At 35.2% G+C, this 26,352-nt stretch overlaps 1 protein-coding gene and 1 pseudogene across 7 annotated transcripts in view; one reads left to right on the top strand and one right to left on the bottom strand.

Annotated features, from left to right (window-relative positions):
• HDAC9 (histone deacetylase 9) overlaps nucleotides 1-26,352 on the bottom strand; it is a 915,592-nt gene that overhangs the window by 782,947 nt on the left and 106,293 nt on the right. The window lies entirely within an intron of this gene.
• Nucleotides 24,867-24,956, top strand: LOC124900248 (uncharacterized; annotated as a pseudogene).

The raw sequence follows: 26,352 nt of genomic DNA, 5'->3' as shown, positions 1-26,352 counted from the left end.
ATTATTCTAGCAAATGTTCAATCAATAAAATGTAAGTTAGAGAAACTTAGTTTAGTCACCAACAAACTAATTGGTATTTTGAAAGTGCTTAAGTTATTCAATTATTTTTCAACACTTCCAGGTTCATTACAGAACCACTCCCATTGTATAGCCTTAATGAAAACATCCAGTGAAATAAATTTTGAAAGAAAGCAAACTATAATTTTTTTAAAGAGAACTAATTACAACTTTAAAAGTAATTATGATAAAGATACCTTTAAAAATCAAGAAGAAAAATACTACATAGATTCAAGAATAAGACTCTTAAAATAATTCCCCTACCTTATTAGTAATAAAAAATTCAAACTGCCATGAGATACTATATTCCTTATCAGGCTCTTTATATTTTTAAAATATTGTACCTAGTATTGAAAAGCACATAAGAAGTTAGGCATCATTTTGTTATGGCAATACTAGTATAAATTTGGGTACAAATTTCTGCAGAATATTTTGACATTATGTGTAAAAAGCCTTAAAATGTTTACATGCCTTGACCCAGGAGTAACATTTCTAGGAATCTATTTTAGGTAAATGGCAGGAGATGTGCTCAAGGATTTGTAGACAAGAAATATTATAATTTATAATAGTCAAATGCTCAAAACAACCCAATTATAAAATAATGTTAAGAAACTGGTAAAATAAATTGGCATGCCCTAAAAATGGATACTAAGCAAACATATAAAAATCTCATTTTAGAACACTATTTCATAATATAAGAAATGTTTATGGTCTGCTGCAATGGAAGGGAAAACAAAAACCTGGAAGATCCACAGGGACTGAATGGTGGACCTAAGCGTAACTTCTATGTCCTTCTGTGTGTGGTGGATAGCTTTCAAGATGGCCCAATGATCCGCACCTTCTGGCATTTACTCCCTTGTGTCATTATCCCCCACACTGTATAACGGTTGGTTAGTAGGGTCAATGGAATACAGTAGAAGGAACAGTATGTCACTTCTTTTTAAATTTATTTATTTATTTATTTATTTTGAGACAGAGTCTCTCCCTGTCTCCCAGGCTGGAGTGCAGTGATGTGATCTCAGCTCACTACAATCTCCATCTCCCAGGTTCAAGTGGTTCTTATGCCTCAGCCTTCTGAGTAACTGGGATTACAGGCGTGTACCACCATGCCTGGCTAATTTTTGTATTTTTAGTAGAGACGGAGTTTTACCAAGTTGGCCAGGCTGGCCTCAAACTCCTGGCCTCAAGTGATCCGCCCACCTCAGCCTCCCAAACTGCTAGAATTATAGGCACAAGTCACTGCACCCAGCCAGTATGTAACTTCTGAAAGTAGTTCATAAAAGACATTGTAGCTTCCACTTTACTCTGTCTTGGATCACTCACTCTGCAGCAAGAAGTGGCCCACATGGCAAAAAAACCAACATCTTTTGCCAATAGCCAGTGAGGAACTAAGGCCTCCAGTCAATAGCCATGTGAGTGAATCATTTTTGAAATGGGTCCTCCAGCCCCATTCAAGCCTTCAGATAACAGCAGCTCCAGCCCACAGCCTGACTACTACTTTAGGAGAGACACAGCAAAAATGGCCCAGTTAAACCTCTCCCAGATTTCTGACCCTCAGAAACTGTGTGAGAAAATTAATGTTTGTCATTTTAAGTTGTTAAATTTTAGGGTAATTGTTACATAGCTAAGCATGTTTCTCTATATTTTCCAAATATCCACGGATAACTTGTACTGCTTTTAAAATCAGAGAATAAACTGCCATTTTAAAACACTAGACATTGTCAATGCAATCCTAATACAGATTTTTAAGATTAATTCCAGTGTTTCAATTTGTCAAGCTAAATGTTTCCGAAGGATTCTCACATGGATAGCACACCTATGTTAGTTGGTTCAACTCCATATTAAATGTTCCAGTTACAGTAAATTAGCAAACTTTAAAAGTACCCAAAAAGGTCCTTTGAAAATAAAAAATAAGAGAAAATAAGAAAGCTAAATATTCAATGCAAATACCTTTTAAAAAAGTGAACAAACTATATCTAAGGAAAGCAAGAGGAAAAAATAATAAAGATAAAAACAGTTGTTAATTTCAAATACTAAAATATTACATTCCAGTAAATAAAGCCAAAAGTATTTGGAGAAGGAAAAAAGAGGAAAACAAAAGGCAAATCTTAATATTCAAGAAAAAGATAAAATAGTAAAGTAACAAAAGGGGGATGAAAAACACAGAAAAGAATAAAAGAATTATAAAGAATATTATGTATAGTTGGTTGTTAAAGAATGAATTTTAATAGTTCAATAAAATTAAAAGATCATCCCAGCTGAGTAGAATATATAAACCCTAAAGAGATGAACAGTTCTAGAAGAAATTTAAGTAAACAACTATTGTCAAATAAACCTGACTGATTTTTTGCGTGGATTCTTTTAAACATTGAAGGAATGGAAAAATATGGAATTTTTTAAAAATCTGTTTTAGAATGTTACATTCTGCTAGTTGATATGGTAAGTCAATACGGTTTTAAAAAAAAGTCCCTTCCTCAAGATACTTTACTGTCCTCCTTTGTAAAACTGTCATAATAACTATGCAAATGACAATATTATAGGTGGCAGTGTACAACTTGTATAATCATAAGTGATGGGCCTAGTAACCCTGACACTAAAACCTGAAAACCAGCTGACAAAACAGAAAACTATCATTCAGTATCACAAATATAGAGGCAAAAATGCTAGATGAAATACATTCCAAACCCAACAGCATATTAAATAATAATAAAACATGTCCAATTGTGTTTACATCAGAAATCCCAGAATGGTTTAATACTAGGTAATCTACTAATGAAGTTACGACATCAATAGGTCAAAATATGTTAAAACAGAACCTATCCCTGCATGCTAAATAACATGCAGTCATCTCAATACATGTGCATAGGCCAGGGTAGTTCTATAATATAATAAAGATTCCCTATCTTTAACTTACAATGAGCACCTTATTAAACATTTAGCAGAGTTGTTTCCAACAAAACCAGATGTACAGATGCCTATCACCAACATTAGGAAGAAACTGTAACATTCTTACCAATACGATAGAAAAAGAACTAAAATTTGAAAATATTGGGATGGCAGATTATGTATACTTATAATATTACTGATTATCTAATAAAAATAAGAGATTTCAGTGAAATCCATGAACTTTAATGAGATTTTGTTAAACTTTCAAATATGCCAATAAGAACAGTTGGAAAACTTTCTGGGAAAAGCTCCAACTAACCAACTAATCAATCAACCAATTAATCAATCTCTCTGTTCTATCTCTCAAACTCTCTCTGTCTCTCTCTCTCTCTCTCTCACACACACACACACACACACACAGACACGCAGGCACACACATACACACATACATTTCATGCTGCATACACCTAAAAATAAAATTGTGGTATTTACTGAAAAAAGAAAGGAAGGGTGCCTTCTGAAGAGGTGCGAGACGAGAGAAGCCATAGTGAAGAAATGACACAACTCTAGAAAGCCATCATGCATATGAATATGATATACCAGATGAATGACTTCTTTCTTTATGAGAAATGTTTCAGAAATTGTCTAAATATGTATTTATATGATTGACAAAAACAGCTTGGAATATGCCAATGGTGCCCAAGGGTATATAACAAACATTTTCAGCCCAATGCTTATCTTTTCTTCAGGAAGACCAAGGCAAGAAAGACCCCCATGAGATGAAGTAAATACGTTTTCCTTTCATCTACTATTTCCTTTGGAGTCACTAACCTTCAAAAGCCCCACTATTCGGGGACTACATTTTATGTCACAAGAGAGCAGTGCCCCCTTTTGGTGCCAAATGCCAAAAGTTCTTTGAGGGCAAGGACACAGTCACTTCTGCAGATCCTCAACACTGCCACATAAAATCATTTAAGCAAAGCAAACTATTAAGCTACCAATCCTTCACATGGTAAAAGAGGAACAATTTACCCACATTAGCATAAACATGGATACATTTGGCAAAGATCACTTTTCATGTATCATGTTCTTTTCTTGAACACCAACTATAGGACCTTACATGCTAACAGAAAACTGATGTATATTAATTGAGTGCATAGGCCTTGTTGGCTCTTTCTAACACAAATCTCTTGACATAAAGAAAGGACCGGGACTTTCTCTAGAACTAATATGTCTATAATGTCTCTCATCTAATGATATCAAAATGCTTTTTTCGACTGGCCCACGGAGGTATCAGATTTCATATTCAAATCTAGATCTTGCGTACAACTCTGTGAAATATGAAAAATAGAGTTCAGTAATTGTTTGGATATAAAATTGTCTAATAGAATAGGGTAGAATAGAATAATCCATTTATTAGAAAGGAATATTATCTGTTTCTCCCTTTCATTTCCAAGAAACAACAAATAACACCAACTCTTTGCTAACAAACAGCATAAGCCCATTATCATACCATAGTACTTAAGTATAAACTGTTCTATTATTTTATGGTATCTTTCAAGAAGTACCATTTTATAGCTGCAAATGAAAATAATACCAACAGTATGCTCTTCCAAAATAGTCAAAAGTAATAAGATCTTTTCCATGCCCCCATCAGTTTGCTTTGAGTGGACAGAACCATAACAAAGAGGTCTTTTTATAAACAATGCTTTGCTTTATTTCCTGCTACCTATGACAGAATTTGCAGGTATGCCCTGCTGCATTCACTAATGAATTTATCTCACTTTGTTAAATAAAAACATAAAGGTATTATTTTGCTTTTGTAAATGTTATACACATTATATATAAGCTTATATATAATGGCTATCATATATTATATATAAGTTTCCTATGCTGTTTCATATCACACAAGTGCTTACCAATTTCTTCAATTACTACCCATCAGTGTAATTCTTAACTATATACTGGAAAAGCATCAAAGTGAGATTTTTTCCCCAGCAGTATGAATTATTTTTAAAGCACATCAGTTATAATTCATCTAACAAGGTGGGATGAGAGAGATCAGACTCTTTCACATACAATCTGAGCTTAAAATAAATGCTAAGAAGCAATACTGTAAATTCCTTGAAGTATATGAAGATGGCCAGAGGCATGCATTTACCTCTGAAAAAGCAGCCCTAGTTAGGTCAAATGCCAATTTTCATAGCTTAATGGGTGGAATTAAAGATCCTGAGCCAGACACACCATTAATACAAGAGTAGCTTCAAATTCTGGCTGTAATACTTTCTGTATGATGTTGAATAATCATCATTCTAGTGATAATTCTAGAACAATTATACTCTATTAATATAAAAATGTTATATTAATAGTGACATCCTTATCTGCAAAACAGAATAAAAATATATACCTTATAATACTATGTTGTAGTGAGGCTTAAATGCAATAATGTATAAAGTGATTAGCATAGTTCCTGGTAAGAGTAAATAAACCTGTAGCTACTATTATAATGATGTTTATGTTCTAATATCACTTATCCTGGAAATGAAATACCCTCTCCTCTTAAACTGGGGAAGGAAAAAAACAACTGCTGGGTGATTACTAAACTTACAAAGCTGGAAGGACTGGAATTATGGAAAAATTATGACTCAAGAGATCCTTCAAAGGTACTTCACAGTCTGTTACATGATGCCTGGTAGACATGTCTCAAGAAATAAAGCACAGAATATTTCAATTCCTGTAATGGGAAACCAGGGCTTAAATACGCTTTTCCAAGAAGTGGTGCCACCAGTGAAAATGGAAGAATTGATAGTTTCACATCTCCTAAAAGTAGGCTGTATCTGAGTTTAGGTCTTACAGTGTGAATAGCTTACACATTTAGCTTTACTATTTTGTCTGAATAGGAGCTGAATAAAATTAGAATTCAGCCAATATCAGTGACTACGTTTGCAGTCCTCAGCTGATGAAAATCAGTCATGGCTACATAAGACTAACAGAGAAAATTTCTTCTCAAAGAATACGATCATAAAAGAAAAATCCCAAGAACTACCACATTAATAAGCATCTGTAAGCAAGCAATAATTCAGTAACTATTATCAGAGTTTATAGTAATTAGACATGGGTAGAAGAAAGTTAAAAATTAGCTAAACCATCTTTCTACACGTAAAGCAACATAATTTCAAATATGAAAAATCCTGGTCTCTTATATATACATGAGGTTGTAAGGAGAAAAATGGAGGGGGAGGTCATGAATACTGCTCATCATTCTCTAAATGCCAAATTGAAAAATTAATCACTGGCATACAATAACTTTTGAACAGTACTCTGTTCCATGAACAGATATTTCTGTAACCTGTCAAAAGTATTCTTTGTCTTGCCCTAGAGGGAAAATTTATTAAAATAAATTAACATTTTACTGGGTCTCTAATTGGAAGTGGCTGTTCTCAACAAACATGTTTATCAAACACTGTGACTGGCAAAATGTATTACTGTAGCTGTAGTTATCCAAATTACATGCTGTCTAAAGCAAAAAGGGCAAAAGCCATCTGGCTCATATAACTTGCGTTTTCTAGACAGCTTGCAGCTGGTTCTGATTAAGCAGCATCTCAGAACTCCCAGAAATCTATTTTTATCCCTGGAAGTGTATTTTTAGGACTCACACATCCAAGGCACAGGGCATTTACATTAATAAATGAACAACCACTTTGATTAGGAAAAGGTTTATGTGACACTTTGGTTTAGTCTCCAGCTGCACAGATGGACTACAAGTTGTATATGACAGTCTGAAACCTAATCTTTGGAACTTACCTGCTCCCTGGCCATTTTAGTATCTCAAGGGAGGAACACAGAAAAGATGCCTCCTCTGTCTTATGAAATAATCAAGGAAATACATCGTAACAAGAAACTTCACTGCAACATCTTACCTATCCTAGGAGGCTGGTACAATTATTATCCCATTTTACAGATGAGTAAACAAAGGTTTTGAAGGCTAAATAACATATTAAATGTAAACAGTCAGTGAATGATACAGCCAGGACTCACATCTGTATCTTTGATGACGCAACAAGAATTCACACCCGTATTTTCTGGCTACAGAGCCTGAGCTAATATTAACCACAAGATTATGCTGTCTCATCACAGACAGGGTTAATAGTGAATTTTAAAAATGTATTTTATTGTAAGAAAATGTAATAATATTATATGAGGTAAAGAAGTAATCATAACTTTGGATGGAAGAAGCATATTAGAACATTCTAGAACTGAATAACAATACAGATTTGTATTAATAAATCTTACAATAAAAAAAGATAAAGAAGATTTTTTCTTCTAATTTAAATCTCCATAGTTGTATTATTCATCATCCTGTTTATCATCATCCTAATCATCAAATTGGGATGAAGTCAGACATAGGTGCTGGACAGAAACATGCAGAAAACATTTAGATAGCTATGAAGACTTGGACATTCTAATTTTTATAAGCCTCTCCCCAAAGAAACACAGTCAGAGAATCACTGAGCAACGTGAACAAATCAATTTTTTAGTTACTCAAGAATTCTCTTTATCCTTAATCCCAGGTGACTTTCCCCTTCGTTCACTCCACCATGACGGCCATTTGTCCCTCAAACTCCCACTCTCCCCTTCCCTCCAGAACTTCTGACGCCCTCTTAAGTCTCCTCCTTACCCTTCCTTCTCAGCTAAATGTCCTCACAGGAGGCTTTTCTCACTCCCTCCACATTATTTACTCTCACAACACTCTGTATTCACCACAATAATCACAATGGACACGGCACACTTTTGCATTCTCAGAGCTTAGGGAAATGACCAGCACTCAAAAGTGTTTGCTGCATACATAACCACAAAAGTCATTCTATCCAGGCACAGATGTAGAATATGTGGTTTACCTAGTTATCTCCAGATTACAGTTTTCTTCTTGTTTGCCATCAATTAAGTAGACACTAGTGGATGTCTCGATAATTTTGTGAGAAGAATCAAATCAAATGTCCATAGAATACTGTACAATAATCATTTTAGAAGGAAGTCATGAGTATATAGACTTCTACAGAAGCACGTCATTTTCACATGCAAGGACAAAAGGTCAAATCAATTCAGATATCCTTGACACTGGCCTTCTCTCACTGTACCACAGCATTATCAAGCTCAAAGTTCACCTACTATGTGCTATATTTAAATCCAAGAAATAGCCTCAGGGCCTAAATATTCTAATTTGTGTTTAAGCTCAGATTTGTCATGTTGAAACTATAGGTAAGTGGGCTTCTATGATGAGCAGATCTTCATACAAGCCCAAAGGTATGGAAGCACAGCTCAATAAGAGCTTTGTAAAACAACGGGTGAAATGCTGCTGATTAGATAGTCACTGATGGGATTCCTAAATCACTAATCCAAAACTGACATTTTCTCCTTTTATTATTAGGCATTCTCATTCCACAGCTATAATCACATGCTTCTGAGTTTCCAGGGAACTTTATACATCTTGACTGGTAACTATTTGCATGCATTTTAAGTAACTGTGGTCATATTTACCATCATGACTCCAAAGGAAAGGCCGTCCTGTACAAAAATGTCCTACCCTTGACATCATTTCTACACTCCCCCTACAAATAAATACCTTCTGATGATAAAAACAGATAATAATGAATGGTTGCCAAGTTTCTTCTCCTCCGGACTGTCATGGAAGATTAAGTGTTAAAATGATGAACTTGGCTATAAATAAAAGGGATTATTTCATTACAAATAAATAAAATTTGTCATTTTATAACATGAAAAGCTACTTCATGTCCAAATCTAGAAGTAGAAAAGAGAATTTCTATCTAATATCCTACCTTGAACTGAAAATTACTTAGCCATATTAACTTGGCTTTGGTTCCACATAATATAGCAAGTGCCTAAAAACAAAAACAATACTTCTCTGATTCTGGAAGTCTATGTGTCACAGAGTGCAAAGTAAGAAAAGGAAGTAACTGGTTTTAAAATAGGCTTGGTAAGTGACTCAATTACATTATAATGAACTCTTCTCGACATATCTTTAGTTCTAAAGGTAAAATGCGAGTTATATTTGAAAAATATTAAAAGTTATGGAACAAGCTGATTTATTCTACATTGTCTGAAATAGGAAACCCTCTTAACTGGAACTTATGTTCTTCATTAGAAAAGTGTTAAATTTCCAAAGCCGATGACGCTAATAAGCAACTTATTGAATTTTAATTTTTGAAAATTAACAATCTAATTATAAATTCAAAGTTTCCCCCTTAGACTATAAATATTTTGAGAGCCAGATCTATGTCTTGTCTTATTTAAGGTTGTATCACAGAACACCACAGAATATCTGGATTATACTAGGTACCCAATAAATGCCCAATGAACAAGACAACATTTTAAAGAATTCCTACTGTGCTTCACTTTCTTTATTATTTCAGACAAAAGGTTTACAGAATGTATCATTTGTAGTTATCCTTAGCAGTCAAAAAGAGAACTAATGTCAGTGTTAAAAAAAAAAAAAAGTACCTTCTCTTGGCCGGGCGCGGTGGCTCACGCCTGTAATCCCAACACTTTGGGAAGCCAAGGAGGGCGGATCACGAGGTCAGGAGATCGAGACCATCCTGGCTAACATGGTGAAACCCCATCTCTACTAAAAATACAAAAAATTAGCCAGGCGTGGTGGCGGGCGCCCGTAGTCCCAGCTACTCTGAAGGCTGAGGGAGGAGAATGGCGTGAAACTGGGAGGCGGAGCTTACAGTGAGCCAAGATCACACCACTGCACTCCAGCCTGGGCAACAGAGTGAGACTCTGTCTCAAAAAAAAAAAGAAAAAAGTACCTGCTCTTTTACCTTAAGATGTTCTGCTTTTTTATTAAGCTCCAACCACTCTGATTTCAATAAAGGAAAATTTGATCTGTCTCATCTCAAAATTGTTGAACCATCAACAACAATTCAATCAGCATCTCAATGATTCAATTCCACAATTTTGCCCGGATAATAGTAGCAGTCTTAGATTTCATAAAAGATCACAGTTCACACCAGAGTAATTAATAATCAAAGAGAAGACTATATCTTAAGTAAAAGTCAGAAGTACTTAGCAAGAGATATGGCTATAGAAAGAACACTGGCTTCAAGCGTCAAGATGGGTTTGAGCCAAAATTTAGCACTTACTAGCAATGTGATCTGGGCTCATTTCTCCCTGAGGCTTATTAGCAGTGTCCTATATTAAATGGGGACCATAAAGTATTTACCTCATGGGTTTATTATGGAAAGTAATATGTGATAAGGTATGAAAAATCTCTTGGCATAGTGACTGTTATATAAGCGGGTGACCAATAAAGTTTTGTTGAATCAGAATGTAAAAGGTCACAAAACCAGAAAAGTCACTAGCCCTTTCCATTAAAATGTCTATGCCTACAGTGGTTTATGGAGATTACAGACCAAAAGGCCCACAGGAATTTGGAAATGACATAATAAATAAACAAAATAAAATTTGAAAAAGGTAAAGCTGCTAAGCAAGGTATGTTGACTAATTACTTTTGTTTATTCAGTGGATTAGGACTTAACTAAGGGACAATTAAGTTGTATATAATAAAATATTAAATGCAAAAAATGCACATATGAGTAAGGCAGAAGTCTTTTCCTGACTCAATTATTATTTCAAAACTCTTAGACTTATGAGCCACATAATTATGTGGTATCTTCCAGTCTCTCTTTATTTTTCATTTTCCTCATGCTAATTTAATTTTCATTATTTAGCTTGCTTTCCTTCTCATTGACAGCTAGATAAAATTTTTTTTTAAATTTTTTTCTATATCTTATCAATGATAACTTTGTTTACAATTTAAAATATATTACAGGCCGGGTGCAGTGGCTCAGGCCTGTAATCACAACACTTTTGGAGGCAGAGGCAGGTGGATTGCTTGAGTCCAAGAGTTGGAGACCAGCCTGGCCAACATGGCGAAAGCCAGTCTCTACAAAAAATATAAAAATTAGTCAGGTGTGGTGGTGCGAACCTGTAGTCCTAGCTACTAAGGAGCCTGAGGTAGTAGAATCACTTGAGCCCAGGAGTTAGTTGGAGGCTGCCTGAGCCTTGTTCATGCCACTGTACTCCAGCCTGGATGACAAAGAGAGACCCTGTCTCAAAAAAAAAAAAAAAAAAGATACTCTCAGACATTTTGGATACAAATGACTAGGTCCATCCCATAAATTAAAATTGGCTTCAGATTAGGGGAGTCATTTTGTTTGTTGCAGGTGATGTTAAGGGAGAAGTGGTAGCTAGGATGAGATAGAAAATGTGAAAGGTGGTCATCTGGGTAACTATAAGCATTTGAATTTGTCTCTCAAACAGAAGAACTGAACAGGTTGGTCTGAAATCACCCACAGGTAAGCTAGTTCTTTGAAACGAAAGTACTACTAAGCATACGTATGAGAAATTTATTTTAGAAATTAGAGATCCACATAGCTGTGCCACTCCTAAGGAACATGAAAGCAATTTGCTTTTTAAAAATAACATAAATAGGCCGAGCACAGTGGCTCACACCTGTAATCCCAGCACTTTCGGAGGCCGAGGCAGGCAGATCACCTGAGATCGGGAGTTCAAGACCAGCCTGACCAACATGGAGAAACCCCATCTCTACCAAAAATACAAAATTAGCCGGGCGTGGTGGCTCATGCCTGTAACCCCAGCTACTCAGAAGGCTGAGACAGGAGAATTGCTTGAACCCGGGAGGCGGAGGTTGTGGTGAGCCGAGATCGCGCCATTGCACTCCAGCCTGGGCAACAAGAGCAAAACTCCTTCTCAAAAATAAATGAATAAATAAATAAATCTAATAATAAATAAATAATTATGAGAGACAGTATGTAAGTGTGTGTGTGTGTATGCATGCACACGTGTGTGGCAAAAGACATGGCATCTATATCTATCCTTTTATGCCACAGCACTCTTTTTGTTTTGGCTGCTAGAAAGCTCAAATCAAAAAAAAAAAAAAAAAAGACTCCTTGGGCAGATGAGGTGAGAGGACAGCTTGAGCCCAGGAGTTCAAGGCTGCTGTGAGCTACGATTGCACCACTACACTCCATCCTGGATGATAGAGTGAGAACCTATCTTTATTAAAAATAAATAAATAAAAATAATGAATCAAAACAAAATTGCATGGATCCTAAAATATTTATTTTCTTGTTTCCAGTTAGGACTTTCTTCTTATTTATACTTTTCCAGATAATGCACCTTTTCTTCTATACACATTTTATTATTATTAAGTTGAACATGTTCTTATAAGATATTTCAAATCAGGGCCAGTTGCAGTGGCTCATGCCTGTAATCCCAGCACACTGGGAGGCCAAGGCAGGCAGATTGCTTTGAGTTCAGGAGTTCGAGACCACCCTGGGCAACATGGCAAAAACTCATCTCAAACAAAAACAAAAACAAAAACAAACCAAACAAACAAACAAAAACAATTCCCAAGCTACTTGGGAGGCTGGGGCTGGAGAATCACTTGAACCTAGGAGGCAGGGGTTGCTGTGAGCCAATATGGCACCATTGCACTCCAGCCTGGGCAACCAAGTGAGAACCTGCCTCAAAAGACAAAAAAAAAAAAAAAAGAAAAGATATCTCGAATCATTTTTTGAATGAGGCAATACATAAATGAAATAAAATAAACATTTGTACTAAATTTATTATCCAGTTGCTGCCACTCCTCTTCCTACACTTAAACTAACTTGAAAGGCTTGGAACTGGGATTACCAACAAAATTTCAGTGTGTCCTCAAAAAGCATGATGCACCCCTCCAAAAAGTGAATTTTTTAAGGTCCATCCATTTATTTAAGTCAATGGCCCTGTGTGTACCCTTATTATTTTTTTATGATTCACATAGGAAACAAACTTATTATTCTTTAATTTCCTGCAACCACAAGAATAATCAAGTAATTGAAAGGCTGAATTTCTCTGGGAATATTCACCCTCCCCCACATCCCCACCTTTTCTTTTGTATAATGGGATCTTGGCCAAGGATCTTGTATATACAAAGAATTACACAAAAGAGAAAGTCCAAAGACAAGCCTCCATTGGGATTTATTTACGTCACTGAGGCCCTGCTTACTCCTGACCTAATTTGTAAATACAAACATATTTTTAAATAATATACAGTTTAGAAACTGGAATAATGAAATAAACTTTATTCTATATTTTAATAGTCAGGTTTATACAACTAATATGAGCAGAATTCCAGAAATGATTGCTATTTGATGTGTGTTTAAGTTTTATTTTCCAAAACTCCTTAATGCCTTTAATCCCCTCCTTGTTACCAATTAACAGCTGCAATGATAGAAATTACAATTAACATTCCAAAAATGATCATCAGTCACAGGTTTCCATGACTATAAAACACAGATTGTTTTCCATAATTCCAATCAGGTTTTCATAAAAATATAGCTTTCATGGCACACAAATTTTTCATTGGCCTATCATTCATTTCAAAAGCAACTATTCAAAATTTTAACTATTAAAAGTTACTATTAAAAAAATCTCAATGAAATTTCTACATTGTATCTGTGTGCAGTATTTCTTACCAAATCCCAAAGGTATTACCAATGAATGTTTGAGACCCCACACTCAATAAAGAAAGATAAAAAAGTATGGGCTCCGATTTTCCCTGTGAATGGTAAACCCAAAATATAGGCTTCTTTAAAGAAATAAATCAAACACTGAATTACCTGTAGACTGTCACAAATAATATCCATAAGATGCGTATGTTTAACATGAAATGTTTCTAACCAGTATTTAACATTAAGGAAAACTACAGAATTTAATTAGAAAATTAAAAAGATGAAACAGACAATAACCCTGAGGGAGAAGATTATAGGATTTTAAAAAATCAAATTTTTCTAAGTTATTTTGTAGATATAATAAATTAGCAATTTAGATCATAATCAAACTTTCATTAGAACTAGAAAATATAGGGGAAAAAGGTAAAAATATACTGTCACCTCGGTGCTATCAGTGCTTTGTTCATCTCTCCATTCTGGATTTGTAGCATTATAGTATAATTACATTTTTACATGTCTGTTTTTCCAGCAAGACTTTGATTACTATGAGTGGGGAAACCGTATAATTTTAATTTCCATATTCACAGTTTGTAACACAGGAGAAGCTCAATGTTTTTGGAAAAGAAGACCTGAACCTACTACATTTAAAGCATATTATCAAGCATTAATAATTTGAAGAATTAAATTTTAAAAATATTTTTATATCTAATTTGAAATAGATCAGTGAATAAAAAAATAAAGCCCAGTAAAATATCTAATTATATGTTAGAATGTAATAATATGATAAAGGGGAAATTTAAAACAACTGGGGAGGAGAAGACAGAAAGCTATGTAATCAATGAGGCTGACATAACTGGCTAGTAATTTGAGGAAAAAAATGGATCAAAATGTATGCCATATACTATCATTATAATACTAATGTCTCTAACTCCCTATGTGTATTTGTGCATATATGTATCCGTGGGTTTATAAACACACACACACACATATAAATTAGTTCACTAAACATTAGCATAAAATAGAATTGAATATTTTTTTGAAAGATGACAACTTTTTAAACCTAGAGTCAATAAAAGAAACAAAATAATATAACTTTTACAACAGTTTGAGCTTTAACACTAAGAAAAGTAATAGTCATGGTAAAATAAAAAAACAACATATTGCAGAAATATGTTTATCAAACATAAGATAAAATGTTGATTTGTATGTTACATACAGGGGATAAACAATCTGACAGAAAAACAGAAAATCAAGAAGAAAAATACCTCAAAAACATGAACATGCACAACAGGAAATTAAATTATTAAAGACACATGAAGAAAAAAAGAACACACACGCATTTTATTTACCAAAGCAATGCAAACTGAAACAACACTGAAGTTCCACTTTATATTTATTGAATAAATACAAAAAATTATTTTAAAAAAGCAACAACGATCACTGTTCAGGGTCTCAAAAAGTGAAACTGAAAAACCCATACATTATTGTTAACAATTTATATATTTATATTAGAAAGCAATTTGGCAAAGCACTTGAAAAGCCATTTGTTAAAATCTACATCCTTTGACTTACAAAGATATGCAAAGCCTTTAACCTAATAACATCAGGCCAGAAATTTTAAACTGAGTAAATAATTCCAAAAAAAAAAAAAAAAAAGGCAGATTCAAATAGGTATTTGTGGTGCCATAATTTGTAATAGCAAAACTTTATAAATCTGTCTGTAACACCATAGGAATGATTAAGTAAACTACAGATTATCAAACAACCACTCCTGAAGGAATCTCATAACGTCATAAATATAATGGAATATCTTAAACAGAAAAAATATATATTATTTTTAAAACTTTCACTGTCACTAAATTTTTTTTACCTTTCCCCACTAATGGAGGTCCCTCTTTGTTTCTCTGACCAATAGTAGCCCATTGATATCTAACTAGGAAAAGCAAGATGGTTACAATCAGCTTTTGTTTGTTTACATTCACCATGTGGACACACGCTTCAGTATGCATGAGCTTTCAAAACATTGAAAGCTCATACATAGCTTTGGAGAAAAGGTAGGCTATCCCCTATATCTCTACATTACCTCCAAAATACAGTGCTCCTTCTACTTTTACTTTCGATAAATGTAACCAGAAGGAGAAAATTTGTTCTGCCACAATCACAGGTGTTCACACAACTCTACCAGATCAGCCGCTGTGTTGAGACACAACTGGTGTGCCAGAAACAAACTAGGAAGTGGTGTGTGGGAGGAAAGAAAATTAAAAGTTGTTAAACACATTTTTTTAGGCATTCAACATAATCTGTTGTTCTAATTATTTTCCTGGCATTTATGCAGCTGAGTTAATTATTATACAAACTAAAGTAAAACTTTAGGTTGCCCCAAAACTGTTCCTTCATTATTCCTTTCATGATGGAATTTGCCTACCCACATATACCACATACATATAAATGCATTATATGATGAAATTTTCTACTTGGAATAGTATGCCTCTGGGTCTTATATTATCCTACATTTCTCCAAAATACCAAACCATTTTATGCTTCTTAAGATCTGTCAATAACTGGAAGACTACTTCCTCAATACTTCCCCTCTAATGGGAGCAACTGTGAAAACTGCACAAAATAATTTAAAAATCAAAATGCCAAAATCGGTGCCAGTAATGAAGACAACATACACGGTTTGGCTGTGGAAACAAAGTGCCTGAAATCCTCATATTTCACGTAGACCATCAAAGAAGTCAGGTTATTTATTAATATTAAATTACACAAAATTTAGACTCACAATCTTTTAATGCATGGTTCACCTTTTAAAATATCAGCCAGTAACACCTCAGACAATATCTTTTTAGTCTATTTTTCCTAAATAATAGTGTACTGAGAGAAACACTTGAAAACACAGAGGAACCCTGATCTATTCACCCAATTAGGCACGTGGGGACTGTTTTAACAGCTCACATTTATAAAGCATATATAATGTTCAGACACTCGTTTAAACTGCTTTACATATATTCATCCATTTAATCCTCACAAGAACTTTCGAGGTAGATATCTTAATTAGTATGCCCATTGTGCAGATGAGCAAACTGAAACAAAGGAATGAAGAGCTGAGTTTCAACCCAGGCAAATGGCTCCTGAGCCCATGGCAACCACTTGAGCATCATTCCAGGTGTACTGTGACAACTTCTATGCTATTTCCTGTATGACCTCTCTCAGGTTCCACTATAACAGATACTTGACATGCCCATGAAGCAAAAACATTATGGTGATTCAAGAGAAGTCTGTTAAGCTGCTCACGCAAAAAGAATTCATCTTAATAATCATGATTTCAACTCCAAGTATGCTACTGGAACACCTTAAATCTTAACAACTTAAATCATAATACATAAACTCTTAAATCTACTAGTCTGCAATTCTGTATCTTTTTTATCTAAATGGCCCTCAACCTACTAAAAGGAAGTGAAACCTGCAAGCATAAAAACAGTAAAGGAGAAAGTATGAGTATCAAGAGTATTAGAATTGTAAATTACTTTTCATTTACCTCTGAATTAAGTACAAGTGTCTGTGCAACATGCACCACAAGGCAAGAAATCTGAAGGAAAAAAAAATCCCTTAATATGAAGAAAACTTAAATATTATCTGGGCTCTCATAAGTAAGTATCTTGAAAGCTAATGTAGAAGATTTAAAAAAAGAGATAAACATTGGAAAAATATCTGGAACAAAATGAAATAGTGAAACCTATAGAAACCTACCTACATGAATCAACTAAAATTTCCAAGAGAGTTCTGTGATCTGAAATTTTACTTAATTCAAAATCACAGGAAAATGAAAGCAAAACAAGATCATGTGAATCCACCTATAGATGGCTGAGAATATATTTATCAAAATACAATGGTGGGTGCTGGCAGAGGTCTAGAGCTTAAACAAAGATGTAAACAGAGAGGTAAAAGTCTTTCCCAACTTTCTCTTCTTAAAAATGTGAGAACAATGGCCTGGTCAGGAGAGAACAGGAAAAATTATTCATCTTCCATTACTGGGAAGTATTCTGAGCACGTTCCCATGGTGCCATCTCTCATTACCGGCTACTTAATTCTTCATTTATTTTTCTCTATTGTAAATAATCAGTTGCCTAGGCTGATTTTGCTACCTTTGCTTTTTCAACTCTATTCAGGAGAATAATGGGAAAATAACTCATCTTACAAGGAAAAGAAATATACTAATATTGGTTTCAGAATACCAGTGTGAAACAGGAATGCTAAAGCAAGAGAAAAGAAGGAAAGAGAAACACTCACCAGAAGGTGAGCCATTGAAGGACACTGCTTTCCATGAGTGGGTATGGACTGCTCTACTTGGCCAGACTTGAGAAAGAGGCCCTTCCCTTGGCAGGAGGCCCTTGGTTCCTGGAGTCTCTCAGAGGTGCTGCTCAGCTAGTCCTCCCTGAGGGTGGGCCCTGCAGATGAGGGCTGGACCAGGAACCTGCAGTTGCACACTTCTCTATGACTGAGTGGCTAAGCTCAGTAGGGGACTGTTAAAGGCATAAGAAGCTGGCTTCCACCTTGGGTCCACTATGTGTTCTAAAATTTAACACTGTTTATAATGAAGCTATTATTTTGATCTCTGTCTTGTTCCTATATTTATTTCTTAGTGACTCAGAACACAAAGAGAATGGTATCATAAATAACACCCTAGAATCCTAACAAATGTAAAACTAATTTGTTGGCTGGTTTCCCAAATTAATATAACATATGGGGAGCTACATTTAAAAAGCTTTAAGGAAAAGAGGAAAACTACCCAGAGGTACAAAATCTGAGACTGGGAATGGGGAGTGGATCTTTCAGCAGCCGGATAGACTTGCAGAGACCCGTTCTGTTGCGAGGCGGACACGAGTTCCATCCTAACAGTGCCGTAGCTTCCTGTGAGAACTAAGGAACTGGGCCTGGCTCCCCTTATGTGTAAAACGAGGAGGCTGTACCAAACCATTTCTAGGGCACCTACAGGCTCCAGCATTCTATGATGGTATAACTAAAATTAACTAGCTTTGGCAGCACCTTCAAAGTGAAAAATGAAAACGCACATCAGTCCCACATCACAAGACTGAAGTCAGCCAAGAGCCAGAGCCATCTCACTTTAAGAAAGAAGAAAAAGCTGTTGATCTGCAATAGGTTTAGAAACTGCTGAGGAGGGAAAAAATTATAATAACGAATTAAAATAGGACATTGACCTCTGTGAAAGAGACCTCTGAGAAAAATAAGTGCTGGGCTAAAGGAAAAGTAGCTTCTCTTTGTATGATTTTTCAGATAGATATGTCCTTAGAAATATCATTCATAATGTTGAACTCCCAATTGCTCGATGGTGTTAGTCTACTACCAAACCCCAATAAAGTCCCATATTAGCTTGCGGATGAATTACGGCTTTTAGGGTTTATCTGGAGTCCAATGTGATACTATAGATTGGTTGGGCCAAACTCCACAGAAAATGCCAAGAAACATTTGAGCCAGGCCAAAAAGTACTGAAACGTTCCACTGACACAGAACCCACAAGTCAACATGAAGCTTTCACTGGAAGATACAGCCTTTGAGTGAAGTTTTCCAGGGATCCAGCCAAAACTCATAGAATATTGAAAAAACCTCTCAAATCTAAAATGGCTCCAAATGGAGGTTTATATAAGAGGGGAATTATGCATGGAAATTTATCATTCACAATCAGTGTTTTCAACTACTGATTCAATTACATCAGAGGATTTTAATTCTTCCTGGAAATTCATTACAAATTACAGGTAACTGCAGTCTGAACAGACCTGTGTATTTTTAAACAAGTCAATTGTTTCAATGAGATAAGTACATTATTTCCAGCAGACAGATAATTGTTTTCTTGTTCAATTGCATTACATTTGTGTATCCAGGTACAAAATGTTACAAATGGAAAATTACTAAGAAGCAAATCAGTCATTAGTGTGACTTATAAATGGAACAAAGTTGTCACAAAAGTTTTACTCTTGCTTTTTTATGTTTCTGAATACATACATCTTATTATTTTTTTTCTCTCTCTGTTTTTTGTTTCAGAGACAAGGTCTTACTCTGTCCCCCAAGCTGGAGGGCAGTGGTGTGATCATAGCTCACTGCAGCCTCAAATTCCTGGGCTCCAGCAATCCTCGCTCCCATCTCAGCCTCCTGCGTGGTAGGACTACAGATGTGCAACACTAAGCACAGCCTTTTTTTTTTTTTTTTTTTTTTTTTGGTAGACACATGACTTCACTATGTTGTCCAGGCTGGTCTTGAAACCATGACCTCAAGCAGCCCTCCTGCCTCAGCCTCCCAGAGTGTTGGGACTTCAGCATGCCACCACGCCCAACTAATTTTTTTATGTCTTGTAAAGACAGGTCGCACTATGTTGCCCAGGCTGGTCGCAAACTCCTGGCCTCAAACAATCCTTCTGCCTTGGCCTACCAAAGCATTAGGATTACAGGCATGAGCCACTACACCCACCCTATTTTAATCTCTTATCTATCAGATTGCAGAGCAAACAATAACAGCAGATCCTTGGGTTTATATAACCAGATATTACATTATACAAATGGAACTAAGAGGTCAGCTGATCAACATGAATGGCTAAATGCCTTCTATATAAATATAAACAAAAATAAAATGAATCCAAGGATAAATTATTAAACTTCACAAGAAATCCAGAAATTGGGATCTGTGGAAAATAAAAATAAATAATTTTAAATTATATCTATTGTAAATCAACAATATTTCTAGCATTACTTTGGAGATAGAAGAATTGTATCTGAAAAGTCTATGTGTGATTCTTGCTGTGACACTATTCCCCAAGAAAACTCTTAACTGTTAGTTGTCCTCAATAAAGAAGCTCTAAAGCAAATTAAAACAAACAAACAAACAAACAAAAAACTTAATGACAAAAAGCAAAATCAGCACTTTGGTAGTTCAAGGCAGAAGATTGTTTCCTGATGGAAATTTTACACTATAGGTGATAAATGACAAAGATTGGTCATGGAGAGTACCCCTGCATACCAGAAAGTGAGAAGACAATTATAATGTTAATTAATATCTAAAACAACGCATGATCCTGGGGGCAAAATAAGTTCTATTTGATAAAAAAAAAATGTTGGTTGTTAGTGCTAGTAGTCTAATGCCTTTGAATTAAAGTTTATGACATCTATTTCTGTTTGACAGTTTCTATGTCAAATACATGATATCAACATACATGCACATTTTTAAAATAGAGTTCATATTTTCTCCAAACTATTTTTTGGAAATTCACCATATTTCAAATTGTACAATTAGGAAAAAAAGTTAGCCATCTATAATTTAACCATCACATATTGATCAAATACCCAAAACTGACATTGGATATAACCTAGAATAATGTGCTATTCAAAACAGAAAGTATTCTTGCATAAATTAAAAATGGATATTGTGAGATTGTATGATGTTAACATATCTAGAAACATATGAGGAGATGCAAGAGAATTTTGAATGAAGTATGGTAAACACAGGACCATTTGAGCCACTGATTCTTCCCTTTGTTTTCAATTACATAATCAACTCTAAGAGAAGATTTTACAGTTGGAAGATTTGTAATAGAATAAAATTTCCATAAGAACCAAAATTTCTCTATGGTGTTGATATTAAAAGAAAAATGCTGCTTATATTTTTTTCTTTTTTACAGTTATATTAACTTAATGCTATATAAAATGGGGTTAGGTCCTGTATTAAGAGATTTTCTTTAAAAGTCACACCTTTAATATTTTGCGAAGAAAATTTTTAGTCCAAAGCTGCTTCTAGACAAGATTATATGTGTTTTGATTTATTTAATCTATTACAGTATTTTGATTGATATTAAATAAATAAAACATTCAAAAAAGGGATATAAAAGATGATTTGCTTTAATGTTTATTTTCTGAAGTTACTCAAGGCCATTTTTGCAGCTTAGAACAATTTTCAGCCTATAGATATTTTTCTCCATAACTTTTGAGTTGTAAGGAATCCTACAAATTCTTAATCCAATCTCCTCATTTTTTGAAAAAGGAGTCAAAATCCTAGGAATTAAAAAGTCAAACCTCAGTCTCTATATCTAAGTGCAAAGTCAAGATTACAGCAAATAAATCCTAATTCCTGGTTCAGTTTTCCTTAAAAGGCTTTGTCTCAAGTGGAAAATGAAGAAAAAACAATGTCTACAAATCTCAAATATCTGAAGTACAACACTTAAAGCTAGGGAAAAAGGACTGAGTAAATTGTTGGCCTCATGGAGCTTACATTCTGGTGCAAGAGGCTGACAAACCAATGTCAAGAGAGCTCTGCCACCAATATTTTTATACACTGGCTCATCTTTCTCCTCTAGCCCCATAATTCCCACCTGAAGAACCTCAGTCAAATCCTTGCCTATGCTTGTCTCTCTCATTCACCTGTGAACTCTGTTCTGTCACGTAACTTCTTTTGCCCTACTTGTAGATGATTCAAAGATGCAACATCCAGCCTCACCCACACAAGCTACCTACCTCACTACAGCTGCTTACAGTAATTTAACTTGAATCTCCAATATCACTTCAGAGTCAACAAAATCAAAACCAAATATATTTTCCATCAAAATTGACTGCCCTTTTCAATTTCTCCATTCCCATTCCTAAGTAATTGTTAATTCCTTTCTCAACTCCTGTGGCTCCCATATCTAGTCAGTCTCCATATACTACGCGTATTAGTCAGGGTTCTCCAGAGAAAGAGAGAAAGAAAGGGAGACTGATTATAAGGAATTGGCTCACATGATTAAGGGGTCTGGCAAGTCCAAAAGCTGCAGAGCTGATTTCCCAGTTTTGAGTCAGAAGCCAGAAGGCTACTGCAGAACCAGTAATGGTCAATGTCCCAGTTTAAAGACTGTCAGGCAAGAGAATTCTCTCTTACATAAGGGGGGTCAGCCTTTTGCTCTACTCAGGCCTTCAACCAATTGCATGAGGCCCATCCCCATTAAAGGGGGCAATCTGCTCTACTCAGTCTACTGATTTAAATGTCAGCCTCATCTAAAATCACCCTCACAGTATCACCCTAAGTAGTGTTTGACCAAGTATCTGGGCAACCTGTAGCCCACTCCAGTTGACACAAGAAATTAACTATCACACTATGGTTTTACTTTTCAAAAGTTTCACACCCTTTTCTCCAGTCTCATTACTGTCTTCTCGGTTCAGGTCCTTATGATGTAAAACAACTCAGCCCCACACCCCTACACCCTTTTTAGTTCAGGCATCACTGCGTACGCTGTGGACACATTTATTTTCAGAAATGTTTTTTATCTTACCATCCCTGTTCTACTCCTTAACTTATAATGACACCTTACTCTGAATAGATCGAATTCTTTTTCTTATTATATATTGCTTTACATAATCCAGCACCATTTGGCCTACTGACCTTTTTCTTCCATCATCTCATAATTCAGAACTTCCATTATAGTTTGGCAATAGCTTAAATATCTTGTTCAGCCACCAATGCCAATTCGCTCCTCAACATACTCCCTTCTCTGAAAGCACTGTACATTCTTCTTTGCCTATTCCATCCCAATCTCATCCATTTGCCCAGGTTTGTCTGAAGCTTTACCTCCTTTTTGAAATTTCTCCATTCTCCAAACCATATATATCATTTAATTTCCTAATCCTCATGTGCACATAAACTAAACAAAATCACTGTTCCTCTACACTATTCTGTCTTGAACTCTAATTTATTAAGATTGTACATCCCTCTTTCTCATGTCTCCAATCTTACCCCACTGGCTCCAAATGTACACCTTCTATTTATCTTGGGCTGAAAAGCTTTGAATCTGTATGTGCCAGGCACTGTGCAAGGCAATGGATATATAAAGAGGTATTACTCTCAAGAAATGTGCAGTCTTATATAAGAGATGGATAAATATTCAAATAATTATGGAGGAATGTAATGCATGCTAAAACAGTGGTAGACACAAAGCTTTAAAAGAATATAGAGAATATAAAAGAAGGAGAAAATCGGTTATCCTGGTACAATGATGGGGTAGAGGATAAATTAACAGGAGGAAGACAGAAAAAAGGCATTTCAAGTATTGAGAATAACCAATTTTTTAACCAATACAAAGGAATAGGGATGATGATGAACATAATATATGTGTTCACGTTATGATGAAACATTTATACATAACGGCAAACATATTGAGTATAAAGAATGAGAGCCCATATACGATATGGCTGCAAAAAAGAGGATTAAATTCATCAAAAAAGTGACAGGTGCAGAACTCCAGAAGCAAAAATGTCTGTAACAGTGAAAATGCTAAGTCCATGACTTGAGTAGGGCTGAGGAGAAGCAGGCCCGGCTGAAGCATGGAGCCAAAACACTCCTGACCAAGAACAGTGGAACCCCCTAGAGTATAGGTGAAATTGTGTTTGTCCCTTATCACTGATCCTAAAGAACAAAAGATTTTTCAGAAATTGTTTGGCAACAAACCTCAACTTATCTGGCAGCATAAACTGACCTACACAGATGTGAGGCTATTTCATGTTTTTATTTATCTCATTTAAGATTAAGATCTATGAATTTAACTGCAGAAATACTATTTTTTGATTATAGGGAACCATCCCAGACCCCATTAAAGGTGATAGGTAATATGGGGGTATATGGTACTTTTGAAAACCCAATACATTTTTTAAATCATACTACCTTTTTAAAATCTGATAAATTCTTGACTCCAAAATGCATCTCAACTAGGGTTTTAGATAAAAATATGGGAACCTTAGGTTTTGAGGTTCCACAGAATCTGTCAGATACACAAAGAGGTCTATTGTCCAAAAAAGGTTTCAGAGTCCATGAGCAATCCATTTAGAATTGTTGTTTCAGATAGAGAATAAGTTTTCAGTTCCCCATACTTCCTATTATTGACAGCGTTTGTGACCAGTGGCAGAGTTTGTTTTATTTAAGTAATATTAGTTAAAAACAAAAACTGGCAATCATGAACTCTTAAACCAACCTTTCCTCCTTATAATGCCAAGAACACCACACACACACACACACACACACAAAACTATAAAGCAACATTCTCTTTGCCTCCTATAACCTTAATAGATAATTTCCTGGAATTGTCTATTCAAATAGAAAATTAATTTCCATGCACAGCTGGAAATACCACATTGGCAAGCAAGGAAAACATCAAACACCAGTAGATTAAATAACAAGTGGAAGAACTATAAAGACTAAACAAAACAGAATTTGCTCAATAAGATGGTCATATGAGAACAGCTGTTTGCCTGTTTATTTAATGTATGAATACATCTTTAAAATGAAGTTGCAATCATCATGGCAGCACTGGATCCAGAGAAATAATTAGGGGATTAGATGATTCAAGAAGTGTTACTAGTGTTGTGGGAAAAAAGGGGTTAGCATCTCTCTTGTTAAGAATCGAAGAGGCCCTTGGGCCTATTTTCATAGCACCTACCATGGTTTTTTTCAGTTTGGGATAACGGGAAATTTCTGGAGATGGGACAACGGTGAGGGTGGCAAATGGTGTGAATGTACTTAATGCCACTAAAGTGCACACTCAAAATATGTTAAAATGATAAAATTTAACCACAATGAAAATGATTAATTTCAATAGGATAGAAAAAAGGTCTTATAAATCAATAACAAAACAGAATAGTCTAAAAGAAAAATAACCAAAGGACACAAACAGAAATTCCAAACATGGGAAGAAAATCCTACAGAGATATGTAAAAAAGCTCAAAACTACTAATAATCAAGAATGCAAGTAGAAATGACTACAAAATATCATGTTTAATCGTTATAATTAGCAAAGATTTAAAAGACTGACAGTTAATAAAGAAGCAGTTTTTCTAGACCCACTAATAAGATTAGGCTGTACTTATACATCTCCTTTCTTTGGCTTGGACCGACCTCATGGGTGTCCCTTTCCACAGTGACAGCCATCAGGAAAAATCAGGCTCATCGTGCCATTTGGGACTATTCCCTGATGCTGTAACTGCTTCAAACAATAAGTTACATGGCCGATACTCAATTAAGAAGCAAAGTAAAAACAGAATAATATGCTTTGCACAAACACTTTAAAAACAAAAAAGAGATAAAACAGAACACCACCTTCAGGAATTGCCAGGCAGAAAGGCAAAGAAGCAGCCTAACAAGGTGGGAAAGACAAAACCTCACGTGGCAAGTCGGCCCCCTTGGCCCTGCTGCCTCAATTCTCAGGTAGTCAGAGAAAAAAAAAATCAGCTCATAGAGCAGAACTGACACTGTATAAATAGCAACAAGGAGAAAGTTCAATATAAATCAATGTGTTATGAGAGCAAATATAGAGAAAATATTATAGGTGAGCTTTATATTGCAGGACTTCCTAATGAGTGAAAGGTGGAGTTCAAGATATTAGGAACATTTCTAGATAAGGCATAACAGATTTCCAAGTAGCATATTGTGTTATATAGCATGGCGCTACATCTCTTTCATCTTTGACAAACGAAACCCCCTTTTACTTCAGTAAATCTCCCTGTACACCACAAGCAAAGGGAGAGAATAATTTAATTGTTTGACTAATTAATTTATCATAAAGAAGGAAGTAAGTGGCTAGCTTTTAAAATACCTGATACTAAGTAGGAGCTCAATAAATATTTGTTGAACTGAACTGAAACAAATGGTAGAAGCTAATGGTGATTTGTTGTATCTATTGATGAAATGTATTAGATTATTGTTCCACCTTTTCATCTGACTTTACCTAAGATCTTACCTCTACAGAGAGCTATAAATATTCTGTTCTTTTCCCCTTGGTATTACAAGCACCAACTACCCATCCAACATGGTGCTCAGAGACTCAGCAAAGATTATCTCCCCAGAATCA

The sequence above is a fragment of the Homo sapiens genome, chromosome 7, assembly GCF_000001405.40.
Source record: "Homo sapiens chromosome 7, GRCh38.p14 Primary Assembly".
Taxonomy (NCBI): Eukaryota; Metazoa; Chordata; class Mammalia; order Primates; family Hominidae; genus Homo; species Homo sapiens.
The sequence above is the reverse complement of the archived record's forward strand: the minus strand, read 5'-3'. Positions and strand labels throughout refer to the sequence as shown.